The sequence below is a fragment of the Homo sapiens genome, chromosome 4 (genome assembly GCF_000001405.40).
Source record: "Homo sapiens chromosome 4, GRCh38.p14 Primary Assembly".
NCBI classification, from domain to species: Eukaryota; Metazoa; Chordata; class Mammalia; order Primates; family Hominidae; genus Homo; species Homo sapiens.
In genome coordinates, this window is record NC_000004.12 from 112,887,800 (window position 1) to 112,907,855 (window position 20,056).

Here is a 20,056-nt window from a genome sequence, read left to right on the forward strand (position 1 = left end):
CTATCTTCACTAGACTGTAAGGTCCATGAGGCCAGAGACATGGTTTAATATCCCCAGTATTTTCCATTCTTGACACATAGTAAATACTTAATAAGTACTTATTAAATGTCTTACATTGACTGGTATTTGGCCAAGTTTTGATAAATATTTTACCATTTCATGATAATTTATTTTAAGCCATTTTGAGTGTTTCAAGAAAAGCCTGCAGAGTTTTAAAATAATTTTTCTCAGATATCATAGCTGTACTATAAGGCCTATTAATTATATTTTAACAAAAGCTAGATAGGTAGTGTTTTCCTTTACTTGTTAATTTTTTAAAGATGGTTTTAGCTGTTCATTTTATTGCTATTTATATATATCATATTGACAGTATTTATAAGCTTTCTTTGACAACAATTCATAAGTTAAAAAAAGTCAGTTTGTGGAGGCTTGTCTAGCTATATAGAAAGTGGAAATGGTTAATAGAATGTTTAATGTCATCATATTTCAAAGTTAGAGATTATCTAATCACTATACCCTATGAAAAATGACTTCTAGAAAGTTAAAGTGAGCTGTTCACAAAGTCAGAACACGCTCATATTTTGTATAACTACTACAACCTTTTAAAAACAAAAATATATGAGGAAGATATTTTTTGTATTCTGAAAATAACAAGGGTTTGCATATTAAGATATAATCAATATGAAAACATCTCTACTTCTGGCAAGTTTTAACATGGTAAAGAGCTTGAAACAGCTCTGAATTTTTTTTTTTGAAAATTTTTAATTTTGATATTTTCTTTTGACTCTACATAGAGAGAGTCATGTCCGTTTTATAACCTTCCACTCTCCCCCTGTCTACCCCAAAAGAAACAACCTAGCAATGCTCAAAATGACAAATCCAGCCTTTGTTTCACCAGATTATTTCAATCTGGCACTGGCACTACCACTAGCTTGGTCTGATTATAGTTAATCCACTGCCTACAACATGACAAATGTTTTTGGTCCAAGTTGAATGGCGAAGTCTTTTCAAACAGGGAAAGCAGTTGTCAGCTGTCCTTGTTGTGGTACCAACATGTATCATGTCAGGACAGCCAAACAAAGAAGAGGATGATTCAGAATGCTGACCCGAGTACACAGAACCTTGTTAACTCTGGTGGGTTTTCTGCAAGGCTTGTTAATAGTGATAGAAAAAAGAAATCATAGCACAAACCCCATATTATATTGGTTGCCTTAGACTGTATACACTTATCAACTAATATCAAATGCAATTACAAAACTGTGAATTATAATTTCTAGTTTCTCTATAAATGACACATTTCTCCTTAAAAATCTCAATTTATTTAAGATTTTCTTAAACATTTCTCCTCTAGTTTGTTAAGCTTGTTTAGTAGAAACAATACCACTTACAGTACTTGAATTTTATGAGTGCTATAGCTGTTGGGGTCACTCATTCAAAAAAAAAAAAACAAAACCTTAAATTCTCTTGGTGTGCTTACCATTCATCTTTTCTTTTATGGGAGATATTGCCCTTTTTTCTCTTTGGGGTGAGTGATGCATGATGTTGTTTCTGCAATGGGCAGAATACTATAGACTATTATATACACTTATGGATGTATGCTCTACATGGCCTATGCTCATCCTTCTGACTACAAGCTAGCTCATTAATTCTGCAGAGAGGTATACTCCATAGACAAGAATAAACATTTTCTCCACTTTATTTTAGATGACTCACTTTTTTTGATGCTTTTTTAAAAATTTAGATTTTTCTATTTTTTTCCTTGTTCTTTTTTTTTTGACTGGGTTCCTAATTATTTTCTTAAAAAATGTGAATTATTTCTACTTTACAAATTAATGTGAGAAATGAAAGTAAAACATGATACTTTCTTTATTAGTAAAGCATGTCATGATCCAATAGGTTTGTGTTGTAATTTCTCCTTGAAAAGAACTGAGTTTATGGTCTTTACTTCACATCCCAGCTGTTCGAGAATTGCTAAATCCATAGGGAGTTGCGTGAGTTATGTAATTGGCATGAATTATTTGAGTTTGAGGAAACACAATTACCACATAATGTTAGCCAGTGCTGGATGAATCTAAATTCAAGGACTCAGGGTTGCAGAGGTCTGTGGGACCGTGATGTTTTCTTTGTTGAGTGCAGTTGTAAATTTATTTCTTCTTTTTATAGCTTGTAAGTAAAAAATACATCATTCTTCAGCATTTTGCCTCATTAATGTCTAGCAAAGACATGCTATGAGGAGAGACTACTTAAACAAAAGATGAAGTAAACAATTAAACAGGCTTAGGGAATGTGAAACTAATAATGTTGGGGCTTATAACATTCAGACCCCTCCATTCTCTTTCACCTCTTTTTCTTCCTTTAAAAACACTGTGAGGAGGTACGAACATAACATTTCTTGCCAAATATTTTTGTTCTTTCACAGTGGGAGAAAGAGAAAGAGAAAGAGCTTTCTTTATGTACTTTGCTGCTCTGAGATTTCCTTTCCTGTTCCCTCAAGATGAGCCTTGAAACTTGGCTCCTCAGTCTTTGAAGTACCAGATTCTAGAATAAAATTAAATAGTATTCAAGAGCATGGTGTGGTTCTGCTACTTGAACCTACATGTTAGGCCACCTACAACGATCAGATATTTGGGCTGTAGAATATTACATGTCCTTCAAAGAATGCATTCTGAAATGGATTTGTTTTCCTACATAATTCCCAATGCAATAACTCTGAAGAATAAAGTTTGTAGCAGGAATTTATGATATACATTTCTGTGGTTTTTTTTTTTTTTTTTTTTTTTTTTTTGAGACGGAGTTTCGCTCTTATTGCCCAGGCTGGAGTGCAATGGCATGATCTCAGCTCACCGCAACCTCCGCCTCCCAGGTTCAAGCTATTCTCCTGCCTCAGCCTCCCTAGTAGCTGGGATTACAGGCATGTGCCACCATGCCAGGCTAATTTTGTATTTTTAGTAGAGACAGGGTTTTTCCATGTTGGTCAGGCTGGTCTCGAACTCCTGACCTCAGGTGATCTGCCTGCCTCAGCCTCCCAAAATGCTGGGATTACAGGCGTGAGCCACTACGCCCGGCCTGTGATACACATTTCTATTGGCTCTGCAATGTTAGGTGCTATCCAAAGACTTTTTAATCCTTCTAAGAACTCCTTTTCATTTACAGTAGAAAAATGATGTAGTGTGCAGGCCAAGGGAAACTGTGTTCCAAAGAATAACTAATCATCTATCTTTTTGACAGTTTTTTATGTTCCAGGTGTAAAGTTACTGTTCCAGGTATTTTCCTGTGTAATGTCATTTACTTTTCACCACAACACTGGATTTGGTGTTTTAAACTCTATTTAATAGATGAGATTGAGACTCAGAGGTTTTGTGACTTGCCTCGTGCCACGTAACTAGCAGTAGCAGATCCTGTACTTAAATCAAGATTCATGACTCCTCATCTTCCTTTTTTGTTCTTCCTTCCCATGCTTCCTTTGTGTCCCAGTGAATGCATGATAGAATTTGTTTATCTGCTTACAATAAAATCTACAAAATTAATAATCTTGTGCTATTTTCTATTCCAGCCATGTCAAGTTATCAATTATTTTTTTTATTGGAGACAGGGTGACAATATAATTTATTTTTCAAAACAGGATACTTTTGAGAGTTAAAAGGAGTGCTATTAATTATGCACGGAGAAAGCAAGCTTATATCAAAATTATCCAAGGCAAACTAGAATCTATAAATGCCCTCATTATTTAAAAAGCTAGAGGTAATATGGCTTAGTAGTTAGAAGTAGCAGCTCTGGAGGCAGAGCTAAGTTCAAATCCTGATTCTACTATTTACTAGCCATCTTATATTTGTCAAACTGCCTCACCACTATGCCTCAGTTTCCCTGTATATAAAATAAAAATAATATTATTAATACCATTTAATTGTATTTTAAATGAGGTTATACATGCATAGCATTAGGAAAGAGGAAACCCTTGATAAGTATTGTCTATTATTACGCATGGAGAAAGAGTGATTTCTGTCATTATGCTTTGAGTGGTATCAAAAGACTTGCCTGAAGATAAATACAGCTTCATTTCTATAGTCAGTCCTTAGAATTAAAGCATAGTTTTCTGAAAGCGTTACCTAATAAGTTCTCAATAAATATTTACTAAAGGAATGAATGAATAAGTTATCCCAGAGGAATAAAATGTGCTAGCATCCATGGTTACAAGGATAATTTGTATTTCAAAAAAGACATAAAAGTATAGTGGTGGGCTAGGTAAGTTTTGATGATAGCAGTGGGTGGGTGGGAATTGGGGTAGGAGAAATATTTAGCACCTGATGATCCTGGGAGGGCTGATTCAGATGGGATATGGGAGTTCTAGGTGGCTCTGGGCCAGTGAAACAGTTCTGGATTCCAGGGGGAAGGAAGGGATGGAAATGGAAGAGGCCATTACACAAATGCTATCTACACAAAAATTTTATTGGTGTTATGTGCTAGAAAAGGGGAAATAGCCCTGTCATGCCAGGAACATTTGCCCTTGGAATTAGACTAACTTTATTAAGCTTGGGTAAGTCCCCTGGGCAAGCAGCCCCAGCTATTTCATTGGTAAATTATACATACATCTACCTTATAGGGCTGTTGTGAGGATTAGAATGAAGTAAGTGTCTGCATGTGTGTGTATGCATGTATATAACATCCTGCTTATTATAGAAACTCAACAAATGATAGCTTCTATAATTATTAAGGATCGTAACAATTACCCAACTCAAATTTTGAAGAATTTTGAAGTAAAGTGTTTGAAAGCTCTTTATGAATATAAAGTACTTTACAAAGATATGGACTTGCTATGAATGCTGACATTGTCCTGTTTACCAGCTCTAGACCTTGGATGTACTGCTATTAGAAAATAGCGTGTTTCATATTCACATGGTCAGAGTTGTAAAGATTCAGAATCAGTGAGACTGATATGCATGCTAAGGGTATTGAAGTGAAACTTTAAGGCATAATTGTTCTTTTTGTTCTTGTTATTAGTTTATCCTTTTTGAATTCTGAGATCATAGGATATGGGATATTAGTTTGATGTCTGCAAAACCAATCGAACTCCAAGTATTTTGCTTCTTAAGCTGTTGCTTTTAGGATGGCCTTTAGGATGCGTAGTGGGTAAATCTTCATTCATTTGCACATTCTAAAAATATATTTTTATAAGTCTTTTATATCCCCCAAATGGTTATTTCAACTATATTTCAGATAAATAGGTTTCTAAAGTTGCTTTTATGTTCTCTTAAGAACTCATTCTGATATTCTAGCTCCAATCTTATAAACAATCCTGGAAATGTTAACTTCAATTTTCTCAGATGCAAAACGAAGATAACACTACTTTATGTGGTTATTGACTAGATTAATATGATAAAGCATATAAAGTATTTGGGAAAGTGCATTATACCTATAAGTGTGAATATTATTATTATTCCCAACTTCCCAAACCCAAGAGATCCTCTCACCTCAGCATCCCAAGTAGGCTGGGACCACAGGTGCATGCCACCACACCTGGTTAATTTTTTAAAAAAATATTTTTTCCTAAAGATGAGGTTTCCCTATGTTTCCTAGGCTGGTCTCAACCTCCTGAGCTCAAGCAATCCTCCTACCGCAGCCTCTCAAAGTGCTGGAATTACAGGTGTGAGCCACCACACCCAGCTAGCACCTTAAATCTTAATTTGCTAATATAATTGTGGTTTTTGACATTACTTTTAATGGCAAAACTGCGACTATTTTTGCACCAACCTAATATAAACAACTTCAGGACACACTGTCATAATAATGACCATTTATCAACCTCTGCATGTTGTATACATTCTCTATTCCATAATGGTCTTGCAAGATTCTTCTCCCCTTTTTAGAGATGGGGGAAACCTCCACAGAGATATAGTTACTTACTCAAGGTCATGCAGGCCAGGTGCAGTGGCTCACACCTGTAATCCCAGCTCTTTGGGAGCTGAGGCGGGCAGATCACTTAAGGTCAGGAGTTTGAGACCAACCTGGCCAACAAGGCAAAACTCTGTCTCTACTAAAAACACAAAAAAGTTTGCCCAGCATGGCGGCATGCACCTGTAGTCCCAGCTACTGGGGAGGCTGAGGCACGAGAATTGCTTGAACCCAGGAGACGGAGGATACAGTGAGCCAAGATGGTGCCACTGCACTCCAGCCTGGGCAACGGAGCAACACTCCGTTTCAAAAAACAAAACAAAACAAAAGGTCATACAGACAGGAAACGGGAAAATGAAGCTGCAAACACAAGCTTGCTGACCCTTGCCCTTGTGCAGTTTCCACAGTACCACATCAATTCTTCATCTTTAAACTCTGTGATGTCCCATTTCAAAATGCCCTAGTTGGCTTCTTTTAAAAAAAAAAATCAAATTCTCTCATTTCTTGAGCACTTACTATGGGCTAGGCATGTAATAGGCCCTGTGATATGGAAGTGAATACAAGCCTGGCTTCCTGTCCTTGAGAAATTCAGTCTAGTGGAGAAGGAGAGCTCCATTCATTTATATAAATAGAAGGAATCTCTAGTTTTTTCTTTTTAAGGAGATTAAAATTATTGATTGACATAAAATTTTTGTATTTGGTGTTACATACGGATATGTAGTATACATACATATATATTATTTTTATAATTTGAAAACTTTCAAACTTCAAATTATGAAAGTACAAATGAATGCTGATTATGTTGCTGTTCTATGTAAGAGTTGACGATAATGGAAGGTTGTAGATTTAGTAACACATTATTATGAGGAACTAAACATTTATCTGGGTGTGCTGTAGAATGTTCCACAATTTCCTAAAAGCTGGGTCTAGAAAACACGGTAAAATGCAAATACTCGAAGATCCATGAATCCATGTCATTTTTTATTGGGAGCATGGTGTTATTTGTATTGTCACTCCTAGAACTCACTGCTCCACTTTTTCCACCATCCCCTGGCTATTTCAGCTTGATTTTATAGGAGCAGAAACAAGAGGGAAGTTTGTTATATTTTAGCTATGATTTCTTTGAGTCACATCAATGAAACATGCTTTAGAACAGCAGAGCTCATAGATATGACAGGGTTGCAAGATCTGAAAGCCAGATTTGATGTACAGTATTTCTTTTTTTCCCCCACAGTCTTTGACTATAACTAATAAGTGGTAAAATTCCCAGTAATTTGCCAAATGCCTGACAGGGTTAATGAACTGGTGACATCAGGATGCTGGTGCATTAGACACATTTTGTGCAGAAGTTTTGTAAAGCCTCTCCTGATGGAGATGCTTAGAGATGAAGCACCAATGTGCTGGTAAATGGCCTAAGGGTAACTTAGTTATCCTAAATAGTCTTAAACATATTTTCCTAATGGAAAATTCTTAATGGAAATTTTTGTTGTGGTAAGCATTGAACCACTTAGAGTTGTTGCTCTCATATTCCATTTGTCTGAAAACTACAGATGGCACCAAAAAACCAGACATATTAGCCTAATACCACAGTGGATGACATCAATATAGTACTTAGGGAGAACTTGATACACTCACCATAAAGCCTTTTAATCGTCCCTTTCATAGACTTGGGTAGGCAAGCCTATTTCCAATTTAAAAGAAAAAATAATCATTCAGAGCAGGATTTGCAAAAGGAATTTTCATTCATTAGTGACCATCAGGATTATTTTCCCCACCAATTTTACAATCTTTTAGGTGCTGAACGCCATGGATTTCTCCTCAGAGTGGCAGAAATTTATCATTATCTGTTCTCTGGGGAGTTAAATAGATTTTTTTTAATGCTCCACTGAGGCCACAATTTTGCTATTATGCTCAGATAGCCCCAGAGCTTGCAGATGCTGGCACTTCTGTCTTTTTTTCAGATGAGTGATACAATCATGCCAAGAAGCCAAAGGAACACTTTTAATTCATAAGCAACTTCATTACATAGTTTGGTTACATTGAAAGTCTGCCTAACATCCCACAAAATCTGTCCTCAAACCACAGAGTTTATTTTCCTGAGTATTTATAAATTCCAAAATCAAAATCAGAACAAAAGCAGCTCAAAAATAGTGTTCTTGGTTGACAGTAATGTCAGAAAACTGGTCAACTCTGAGAGTATGTGTCAAAGCGAGAGCATTCAAACTGTCTGTGATTCAGCGTTGCTGCATTGTGGCCTCTACATTGCCCCAATTGTGTTGCATTTGTGAGTCAAACTCATTTTGCCTCAGCATGCTGCATAATGAAAGCATTTGTTCTCATTCTCTCACCACCCGCCACCCTACTGCTTCAGTTCCAGGCCATTACACCCAAAGTCTCTGACAGAGAAAAAGGAGCTCACTTTAGAAGACTTGGAAGGGTCAGCAGGATTGCTGGACTTGGAGCAAAGCTCTGACTTAATTTATGTCCATTGGTTATTTAGAGAGAGCTTAGCTGTTTGTACTTTGTTTTCCAGCCATAGGAGGAAGGAGCTACAGCATATGTCTTCAAAAGCTGTTTCTTTTGCCATGTGTGATATAGACTATGGGCTATAGGTTCTGTTTAGAGCATAGTCGTTCATTCATCAGGGGCAAATTCTCAAGTGTAAACATGAATTACTCCTACCTTCAGTCTGTTGTTAAGCCCTTTGCTTTATTTAAGCAAGTAACAATTCTGAGAGGTAAAATCTGTGCACTGGAAACAAAATAGAAACCATTTTTACCAGAACAAAAAGAGAAGGGAGAAAAAAAGGATTGAGGAATGCAGCATAAAACTTCTCAGCTTATTGAGATTTCCTTTTCCTTGTAGAAAAGACAGATAAATGTGTGAGTGCTGGTAATGCTTTTCTCAAGTAAAGAAAGACACCTTTGATGTCGCATTCCTGACCTCAGATGCTAAGGAACGAGGTTAAAGAGCTTTTGGTCAAGTTTTTACTGCTGCTATGTGGCTGGTTTGGATAAACACTGTAAATGCCAGGCTCAAACTGCCTGTTTTTTTAGCTGTCATTTCTGCTGTCACCAACCTGAGAACTTCAGGGCTTCTCCCTTTATTCAGCCTTGGAACCACGGCCACAGTCACTTACTTACCTGCTCCTTCCAGTGAGCCACCACCCTCATAGTGAAGCTGTTCTTTAAAGACCAAACCACTTAGCTCCAGCGTGAGGATGCTCAACATATGAACTACATACAGATACGCCAATAAAGTGAAGCCTCTGTATGAAAGGGGACGATAACTCCTCAATCATGAATTCTTTTCTTCCATTTTCCTTGTCCGGCGCACTCTCCCCTCTGCTTCTTTTCCAGCTGGTGATCTGACAAGTCATATTTCTCTTACAGCCGAGGTTAGAGAAGCTCTTTCTCTGAGCTTCTCTGATAACTGTTCACTGAGGAAGTGGCCAATTCTTTAAATTTTCATTCAGGCAAAACTAAAACCATGGCTCTCTTCAAACACCTTGCATAGCTATAGCTTCTGGTCCCCCATGACAGAAGTTGTTTCTCTCTCCTGGGTTTTCCTGGGAGCCTGGGGTTCTTTGACCCAGTCTGCCAATATTCCCTTTCTTTGTTCAATGCCTTTTGTTCATGTCTTCATCCTTGTTACTTTTTTCATTTTCCCCTTCTCCACAATAGGAGTTCAAATGGAAAACATCATCTGTCTCAAGCAAAAGTTATTTGCATACATGGTTATAAAGAAAAGCAACTGATTTTCTTTAACCTCTCAGGATCAGCCTCTTTATTTTTTACATTTCATAAGAGTGGTAAGAGGATTGCCGATCAGAAATTAGTTGGCCATTAAAATTTCCTCATCTGTGAAAATGAAGGGATTAAAACAGATAATCTTTTAAGGATCTTTCTAGCCCTAAAAATATCCATGGCACTGATGATGTTTTGTCTTTTTATGGGGGAGGCCAGATGGATGCTCAGCTCTCCATGCTGTGCATCTGCTTGGTGAGTGGCTTGAACATCTGTTTGGGACCTGTAATACCAAGGCATTGCAATTCCCCTTGCTCACCGTTTCAGCTAGCAGCGGCAGAATGCCTCTCCAGAAGGTGTCAGCACTCTTGTCTCTGGAAGAGCTTTTTATTCCCATTATTTCCAAGAATAATAAGAACTAGTTTCCTGTATATTTCCTTTTTGAGGCTGGGAGATCTATTTTGTGGTAGTGAAGAAAATATGCATATTCTTCTCAAATATCTCAAAAAAACCAGGTTTACTATCAAATCAATATTAATTTATAGAACATAAACTATAGATCAAACAGGTGAGAAAATATTTTGACATTTTATCAAAGGAGAAGCCAACCATCTTTATCAATAGACTTTATTTTTTAGAACATTGTACGTTTATAGAAAAATTGAGCAAATAGTACAGAGTTCTGGGATTATCCTCTCCCCTTAATTTCTTCTATTATTAACATTTTATATTAGCATGGCATATTTATTGCAATTAATAATAAATTATTATTAAATAAAGTTATCGTGTTATTATTAACTAAAGTCCATAGTTTATTGAGATTTTTAAAGTTTTTAACCAAATGCCCCTTTTCTCTTCTAGGATACCAAATTTATATAGTCGTGTCTTATTAGTCTCCTCTTGGCTGTAACAGCTTCATGGGCTTTCTTTGTTTTTTATGCTCTTGACAATTTTGAGGAGTACTGGTTAAGTATATTGTGGGATATCCCTTTATTGAAATGTGTCTGATGATTTTCTCATAATTAGACTGGATTACATGTTTTGATCACAGAATAAAGTGCCATTTTCATCACGTTATATCAAGAGTAGCACTGTGAACATGACAGTGCTGTTGATGTGAACTCTGGTCACTTGGCTGACAGTGTTTATATGATTTCTCCACTGAAGCCAACCATTTTTAAACCAGTGTTGACTATTCCTTCAAATAAAAATTCTAGATTCCATATTTGGAAATTAATTTAAAATTAACTTGAGAAAAGACCTTGAAAATAATAAAAACAAATGAAAGAGTTCATTTTCTTCTTTCTCCTGTCTAATGAACATAGACGTAAATAACTAAGCTCATGGCTTACTCAGACCTTTTTCCAAGAGAAAGAATTTTTTTGTAGTTGACACAGCAGGAGATAAAAGGGGAGGAAGCAGAGGATGGTATTTTTCTCTGGGATGTGTCAGCTCCATGAAGAAATTGCTGCCCTACAGACACTGATCCACGACTGTCAGTTCAGATATTTCATTCTGGCTGAGAGGCAGTGAAAGAAATGACCACCGAGGAGGGTATTTCCAGCATTTCTAACACCTCACTTAGGGAAGGGAAAGGCATTACCTAAGCCTTGTGTGCTGCTTTCTAGCTCAACTCTAACCAAGTTGATGGGGGCTGTGAAGCCTTTCCTGTGGGTGTAGTCTCATTGTTTTTATTTAACAATGAGTGAAAGCAATAGTACAAAGACTTGAATATCTTTATGCATATTTTAATAATAATGAAAGTTAGGAAAGTAACTTCTTTAACAGAATACAGATGTGACATTAGTAATTAGGATTCCAAATACCACATATTGGAGTTAAGAAAAAAGGAGTTCCCTTTCAATTAAACTGATTGCTTAAATTTGTGTATTTACATATTTTCTTAGTGACATCCAAAATAATTTTAAACTATTTATAATTTTCTCATTTTGTTAGTTGTTATTTACATTATTACTAAGATGAACATGCATATACAATTTCTTCTTTTTTCTCCCTCTGGCCCCATAAAAACCCAATTTTCTTAGCCATTAGCATTGATGAGAGGATTCTAAACTAGATTTTCTCTGTAGGATTGGGTACAACGTAGGCACCTAACAGAATGAACTATTTTATGAATAGTAGAAATAAGTTATAAGTAGTATGAGAATTATATTACTTCTTCTGCATTTCTAATATCCATCACATCTTCAGTTTTAGTGGTAGTGTCTTAGTTCCCATCTTCATTTTCTCTGCTTTTCATCAATCCATCCCTGTAGCCAGAGCAAATTTTCAAATATTAAACTTAATCAAATCCTTTGTCCATATCTGCACACCATGATGACTCTGGATTGCTGTCATTAGTTTTCCATCCTGCATCCCCTATATGATTATAAGATCTGTGAGTGCAGGAACAGTGTCTCATTCACCTTTGAACAACCCCCTGCACACTGTAGACTCAAAAACCACAGGCTGAATGAATGAATGAATGAATGATATAGCTATTTTGGGAGGTCATCTCTCCATATAGACCAAAATTTTGGTGTTGTTTTTGTATTACTGGCCACATTTCATGAGGCTCTTAAAAAAGTCTTCTGTGGAAATTTTCAAATATGGACCAAAGTAAGGAGAATAATATAAGGTGTCTCATGTATCCACTTAGCTTCAAAAATCGTCATCATTTTACTAATTTTGTTCCATCTGTCTTCCACCCCACATTTTTTTGGTTTCATTTTTCTGGAGCATTTTAAAGTGAACACCAGACATTATGTCATTTTACCTGTGAATGTTTTATTATGCTCTAACTAGTAAGACATTTAAAAAAACCATATCCACCATGCCATTATTACCCCTCTTTAAGATAGTTTAATATCAAATATCTAATATCCTTATCTCCCTGATTGTCTCCTATCTCAAACCTGCCTTTTTTTCTCAATTGGTTTGTTCAGATCAGGATCCGAACATGGTCTGTACATTGCTTTCGGTTATGGTGAAGCATTATTTAACCTTCACATATAGGGGAGTGTGATTTATGTCAAAGATGGTAAGTGATGATCTGCATAAAGAATGTATTTCTTGATAGACACGGGGGACTTCAAAAGCCGGGGAAAGGGAAAAAGGGAGATAGGTTAAAATTTATCTATTGGGTACAATGTTCACTATTTGAACTTACCTTGAGAAATCCTGCTTTGTATATTTGCTTAAGCCAATATTAACCCAACTTAACACTTTCCTTCAAGTCTCCCTCTTTCCATCTTTCTCCTTCCCCCCAATTTCCATTTCTATTCTGTCCTCTTAATTATGTCAAAACTCAGCTTAAGTTTCATCACCTCTGTGAAGATTACCCTCCACCAAGCCCTTTAATGCCTGACCCAGCAATATGCCATTTAGTTTACATTGCCTTGATTTATAAAAGCAACTATGTGTAAGACCAAGGCTTTATGAAGCAGGAAAACCTAGATTTGGTTTTCATTCCTGCCATTGAGCAATATGGTGTTGGACAAGAGCCTCACTTTCCTTGTCTACAGAATGTGGATAATAGGAGGGTTTTCATGAGGTTGTTTTGAATACCAGTTGAGATAATGTATGTAGTCAATATAATTTTTGGTACTTGGGAACACACTATAAGTTATAAGTTTTTATTATTAACTTTTTTGGTTTAATTATGTCATCTCCAACTACATTGGAAGGCACCTATATAATGCCTTATACACTGTTAGCACTTCATACCTTTTTGTAGGGAGTCATTTTTTTGGGGTATTAGAGTGACCACTTTTAGCCCCTGGGATTTCAACAGCCATCTAACTATTCATCCAATTATTCAGATATGGGTTTTTAGTAGTTGTGATTGGATAACTATAAGGTATAAATGCAAGCATACGTTCCAGAAAATGGCCAGAATGTGAGGGAAAGCAACTGTATCTATTATTTAGTATTTTAGTGCTTGTTAAAGTTAGGAGAAAAAAATACTAGGTTAAAATTAGTGAGTCTTCATCTTTATAGGAAGTTTTTAAATAAAGTTTAGGGAGGAAAGAGATGCTGATAAGCTGATGCTGAAAGTATCTGTCTAGTTAATTTTTTGTTACAAATGGTTTTCAGTGTTGTTTCTTTGCAACCTCAAAACAAAATCCCTGCCTTAAAAGAAGAAAAAGCCCAGCCATGGTGGCTCTGCCTGTAATCCCAGCATTTTGGGAGGCTGAGGCAGGCGGACCATGAGGTCAGGAGTTCGAGACCAGCCTGACCAACATGGTGAAACCCCGTCTCTACTAAAAATACAAAAATTAGCCGGGCACGGTGGCACGTGCCTGTAATCCCAGCTACTCAGGAAGGAGGCTGAGGCAGGAGAATCGCTTAAACCCAGGAGGCAGAGGTTGCAGTGAGCCAAGATCATGCCACTGCACTCCAGCCTGGGCGACAGAGTGAGACTCTGTCTCAAAAAAAAAAAAAAGGAAGAAGAAGAAAAAGAGATGTAATATATTTCACCATGGAAAGTTATTCAACAGCCAGGGGCCAGGAGAATCAAATTAAATTGAATTGTGAATCTGAAGGCAGCCAGGAAAGTGCATTTTAAACTGAGCTAAGCACAAGACACTGCATCATTAAGAGAGGAGAGTTACAGACTCACAGTGAAGAGGAGAGCACTTAAATTGCTCTTGAGTTTCCTGGAGAAGAATAAACATGTATGCAAAAGCCCAGGAACTGGTTTTTCAGTTTCAAAAGGAAATAATGTGTGTTCTGTCAGTGGAGCTGAGTATTCAAAGGCTCTACAGATCATCCCAATGGGAGCTGGAAGCAAGGACTTGAAGCAGTAGCTTTGTGTCTTTGGCAGTCTCTTGAAATTGGGACTAAAATTAAAAGTAGCTGAGTGCAACCAGTTCTAAATGTCAGATGGAACACTTTGCTCAGCATGCTGTGCACAACATTGATTTTCCTATGTTCCACATTGTTGTGTGAGATGTTGAATCAGGTTCCTGTTGGCGCATTCACTAATATAAGAGCTGGAAAGCAACTTGGTCCACAATTAATATTCTGTGATGCTATTGTCTGTATGCCTTGGACTTTAATTGGGCCAGGTTTTTGTGAACCTCTTTTATTCTTTTGACACCTGGAGGCTATGTTCTTCTTATTTCAATTTGATTAGTCTTTTTCGTAGAAAGTTCTTATGAATGCTTAAATGTTGTCCTTTCTGAATTTGTACTAAGACACAGAGAGGATTGTTCACCACATGCGAAGTGAACTATGGGAAGATTTTTTTCAAAGAAGTATTATGGTAGCTATCTGATAACTGTCATTACATACACAGTTCCAAGGGAATTTAAAAACAGGGTTGTGATTTCAGTGTCTGAATATGTGTTTATAATTTTAATAGCTCCTATTAAGGTTTATGTGAATGTGGACACCACATCTGTTGAAATTATAATCTTTTAATCTAGACAAAGAGTAGATCAAGTAAGATAAGGGGAAGAAAGAGGACTGTGGGCATTGAACAGGGTGTGTGCCAGAGGGCTATTCCCGGGAGTTCAGAGAGCCTCCTGGAAACTGAAGAATGACACTTCCTTGACTCCATCCATAATAGCTCTAAATATTAATGGTTCACAAGAGAGAGAGTGAAAACCCTCTGGACAAGAAAATCCAGGAATTGTTTCACACTGGGCTATGGTCCTCAAACTTCCAGCTGCACCAAAATTATCTGGAAGCCTTGTTAAAACATATAGTATTGGGCCCCACTTCCAGTTTCTCATTGGAAGGTGGAGGGGAGCCCAATAATTTGCGTCTCTGACGAGTTTCCAGGTGATGCTCATTCTTCTGGTCTAGGAACCACTGGTATAAGGCAGTGATTCTTGCCATATTTTCCTATGCTTTAATATGCAGAGGGATCATCTTGGAGAGTTTGTAGAAAGTGTAGTCTTTAAAAATTATACTGAGATGGGACTCAACACTGAGATTTCTGAAAAAGCACCCTTAGTGATTCTGCTATAATTGGTCCAGGGATCCTAAGCCATTGCATCATTTCTAACACTTAGTATTTGAGTCTTTCATGTTTTCATAACCATTTATGGGCTTGAATGTCAGTGAATGGCTGTTAAAGTTCCAATATGCTTTGAAAAATAAGAGAAAATAAAGTAGAAGCATGGCCATATATTAGTGGCTTAATGATACCAGAGGTGAAATCAAATCTCATGAAAGTCTGATATATTGTGATTCAATAATGTGAGCAGTTAGCATAACCTGATGTAATATAACAAGATTTTGGCATTAAAAACTTGTCCAATCTCTTGATATTGTGTAACATGTAAATAAATCAAATCTTTTGAAAGGAAGCAGCAAAATATAATAAAAAAAGAAGACTTCTGTGATGCATGTATCCTGGCTCTGGCATTTACAATGCTGGTCAGGTCACGTAAACTTTATGATGTTTAGTTTTTCTTACCTGTAAAGGAGACTTAGTAATTCCTATTTTACCATGTGTCATGAAGGATAAATAGATACGATATATGAGATGGCTAGTGTAGCTTCTGACATATTGTAGATGTTTAACAAATGGCAGTTATAAAAGGAAGAAGAAGGGGTAGGCCACACGCATCTGTCATTTCTTAGTTTTTGTCATTGACTGTTAGGTAGGGAATGCTTATCCAATTTAATACTCTTTGGTCAGCAATTTCAGCCAATGCTTTTTCATGCATTTAGACAGACTCTGAAAGTAAACATAATCTCTCAAGATTCTTATGAATCTACTTATGATTGAATGGACATTCTCATATTTTTAAAAATCTATTTCTCTTACAGATTAATAGGCTATTTTTCATCTTTTATCACATTCTGTTTTGGCTACTTTACTGAACTCTTGAAATGTTCAAATATTTTTGCTTTGCTCTTTTGCATTTATAATAGTGGCTTTTTAAAATGAAGAACTCCATCAGTGCCTCCTATAAGCTTATTTTGATTTGAAATATGGAAACTGTTCTTAATGATAAATTGAAATGATTTCAAACTTCTAATATTTTCTCTTTTTTATCCTTTTAGGTAAGTAATGAAAAGAGACATGAAGAATTGGTATTTCAAATGACCACCATGTTGCAAAAGGTACTTTTGGTATTTTAAATATTACTTTAAAGGAATCTTATAAAAAGACACGGAGGTTAGAATGTAATTAAGTACTATTTTGGTAAAAACAATTTTTATGAAAACAGATTTAAAGATGTTATAGCATTAACAATTTTTTAATTATAAGAAATGTAATATACTATAAGACTTTTCTTTCTGTAGTCTAGGCAATTATCATTGGTATCATTTGGGAATGAAAAGGTAAATAGATTGTCTCTTCCTCAAGATATTCATTGCTGGAAAAAGGGAGGTGGAGGAAAGAAATCTGAATACAATAGACATAATAAACACATTGGGATTTGTTCACCAAAGTCATCTATTTTCTCTAAGGGCTTATGAATTTGTTTTCTGTGATCAGAACATTATCTTCATAATTACTTATAAAATTGATTGCTATAAGGTTGTCAATAAAGTTATTTGATTCTAAATAATTCAAATAGATTGCATCCATGTGGAGAATTCTCCAGATTCTACATTTAAATCAAGGGGAAGGAGGGAAGAAGGAAATATTAGACTTAAATGATAGAATGTAAAAATTCTTAGTCTATTTATATCGCACACATGATTTGGGGAAATCTGCTTGTATTTTTAAGTCGTGAATCTCATCTAGAAGAATCCGTTTCTTTTCTAGAAGGAATCTACGAAATATTGTGAAAATCATCTCATTTGGTTACAGAGGAAACAATTACATGGTGAACTATTAGATGAGTTGTATGACACCATTAACATTGACAATCATGCAAATATCCATGATGTTTCAGGTGCAATAAATAACATATGGTGCCTTTGTACTAGATTAGTAATTTAATCCAAGAACAGAAGATATGCCAGAATGCCAAAAGAGGAGAAATCAACTTAGCTTTTTAATAAAATTGCAATTTTTAAAGCATTTCTCATTTTGCTTAGAAATTTCCTCAAGGCCTTACAAAATTCAGGTCATGTACTATTGAAGATAAGATAAAAGGAGTGGGGAATAACTTAAAATTTTATCCTCTTTGAATGATAATTATTTAACATACATTTTCTATACTTCATGGCTATTCTTTTGAGTGCTAAAGGAGAAATAGACAATTTTATTAATGTTGGTAATGAGATAACATTAATCAGCTTAGGCTATTTTCTTTTTGTTTTTGTTTTGTTTTTTGAGACAGGGTCTCCCTCTGTCACCCAGGCTGGAGTGCAGTGGCACAATCATGGCTCAGTGCAGCCTCCACCTTCCGGGCTCAAGTGATCCTCCCACCTCAGCCTGCTGAGTAGCTGGAACTACAGACTTGCACCACCATGCCCGACTAATTTTTGATTTTTTTGTAGAGATGGGTTCTGACTATGTTGCCCAGGCTGGTCGTGAGCTCCTGAGCTCAAGTGATCTGCCCACCTCAGCCTCCCACAGTGCTGGGATTATAGGCATGAGTCACTGCGCCTGGCCAGCTTGGGCTATTTTTAGAAGGGCAGATATTACTCTGCTTTATTACATAATTAATATTATTATATGAATATATTCCAATACATTTTGCTTCATTTGAGACTTCCAGGTATAAAAGCTAAGTCAGAAATTGGATAGATGAATCTTAGAAGCTCAGAGGAAAGATCTGTGATTATAGTATGATAAAGGAGAACCAATTCCACTTCTTGACAAAGAAGGGAAGAATAATGATTTGGTAGGGAGTGTCAAATGTTGCTGACAGGTCAAGAAAGATGAATGCATCAACAAACCAACTGGAGTTTTACATATAAATGTCCTCAGTAACTTTGGCAAGGGAAGTTTCAGTAGAGAAGCAGGGGTAGAAACCAGACCGGATTAGTTTGAGAAGTAAATAAGAGATAAGGGGATAGAGTTAGCAAAAAAGATAGCTTTTTGAAAATTTTGTCAGGAAATAAAAGTGCGGAGAATCCAGCGTCTGGATAGGGAAGTTGGGATGAGAGAGTCTTGAACATGTTTACATTTTAATGGGAACAGTGCAGAAGAAGGAGAGAGATTGGAGGTATGGGTTTCTGAAAAGGAAGGAAGTGATGGAGGAGGTGGTCTAGGAAGAGGGATTACCTATAGCCAGTGGGAAGGACAACATGCACATCAACACAGCTAAGGCAATCTCTGTAGGATGCGTGCAGATACAGATAGGTTTGTAGATTTGGTAGGGAAAATTGAAGGGGATGTCAAGAAAAATTTGTATTTTCTCTGTGAAGAAGATGTGGCCAGAGTAGTTAATGAGGATTTGAGGAAAAGGGCAAGGATTGAAGTATCGTTTGTGGAGAATGAGAGAGAGAGAGAGGTCAATATTAGATTAGGCAAGTATTGATGACTGGGAATTTGTAGTATCATCAAACTCCTTAAATTTATAAGTGTATTATGTACATGAATATTACTCTCTAAAAATCAGAAATCAGGGATCATCTGTTTTGAGGGAAGGTATAAGAAAGATTTGACTCTTCTTTTCTTAGGTCCTCAGTTTTGGTATGTGTCCTAATAAGAGCATTTTCATGGCAAAATTTAAGAACACTTTTTGACCTTGAAGAAAGGATTACTTTAACACTACAAAATATATGTCCTTTTTGCCATGACTGAAGAGAGCCTGCTGTCCTTACTCAGGTGTCCTTAGGTAGGCACATTCTTTCTGCTCTGCTAAGCATTCTTTGGACAGTAGAGTTAGACTGAAAGTGTTAAACAGGCCCTGAAGATGAAAGACTTCAGTTTGCTGACTTTGAATTATAAGAAGGTTAATATGTCCATTTAACTAGAAACTCTAAATTTCTGTGTCCCATTTGACTTTTAGGAGTGTTTACTTGAGGGCATAGAGCTCTTTGTAAGACTGAAGGGATCTTTTAGTTCAGGTACTTAAATTTTTTTCTTTGTTAGCTGCAAAACCATTTTGAAAAATAAAATCTGGCATTAGCAAAGAGAACTATTCTGATTACAGTGGGCATGCAGGATGTGGAACCCACCCACTTATCCCTCTTCTTTCCCCTCCTCCTCATCCTACTTTCAGGAAGTTCCCCTGAGACATCCTCATTGAATCTGGTGGCTCCATTGAACATTGTTTGAAAAGTACAATTCTAGGTGATCACAACTATATTGAATTTCATCAAAACATGAAATTCTTAAGATAAATTAACTGTTGTTTGAGGATAATTTTTTTCTTTACAATTAAAATAGGCAGGTTAGTATCTACTTTAACCTAAAGTATAAATTCTTACCTTATATTGATAATTTTAGTGATAGTATATACTAATTTTATCAAGGAAGCTCAGCAAAAATCACTGCTAAATATATTACAAATCTGGGATTTGAAAAGCCAAGCCCTTCTTTTAATTAATTTTGCTGA

The 20,056-nt window shown here is 36.3% G+C and overlaps 1 protein-coding gene across 43 annotated transcripts in view, besides 1 other annotated feature; it reads left to right on the top strand.

The window, feature by feature from the left end:
• The window catches only part of ANK2 (ankyrin 2), a 678,115-nt gene that overhangs the window by 182,178 nt on the left and 475,881 nt on the right, over positions 1–20,056 (top strand). For 39 of the 43 annotated variants that reach the window (NM_001386147.1, NM_001386160.1, NM_001354254.2 and 36 more), the window contains exon 2: positions 16,656–16,715. The exons of the other annotated variants lie outside the window; for them this stretch is intronic. In NM_001386147.1, coding sequence (NP_001373076.1) covers positions 16,695–16,715 — 21 coding nt within the window. In that variant the 5' untranslated portion in view covers positions 16,656–16,694. The remainder of the gene's footprint in view (positions 1–16,655; positions 16,716–20,056) is intronic. 43 annotated transcript variants of the gene reach the window in all.
• Positions 8,034–8,328: a silencer, noted in NCBI's record as "tiled region #8329; K562 Repressive non-DNase unmatched - State 24:Quies". NCBI's record gives its function as "represses a minimal TATA promoter and a strong SV40 promoter by Sharpr-MPRA in K562 cells {active_cell/tissue: K562}" and the evidence as "EXISTENCE:reporter gene assay evidence [ECO:0000049][PMID:27701403]".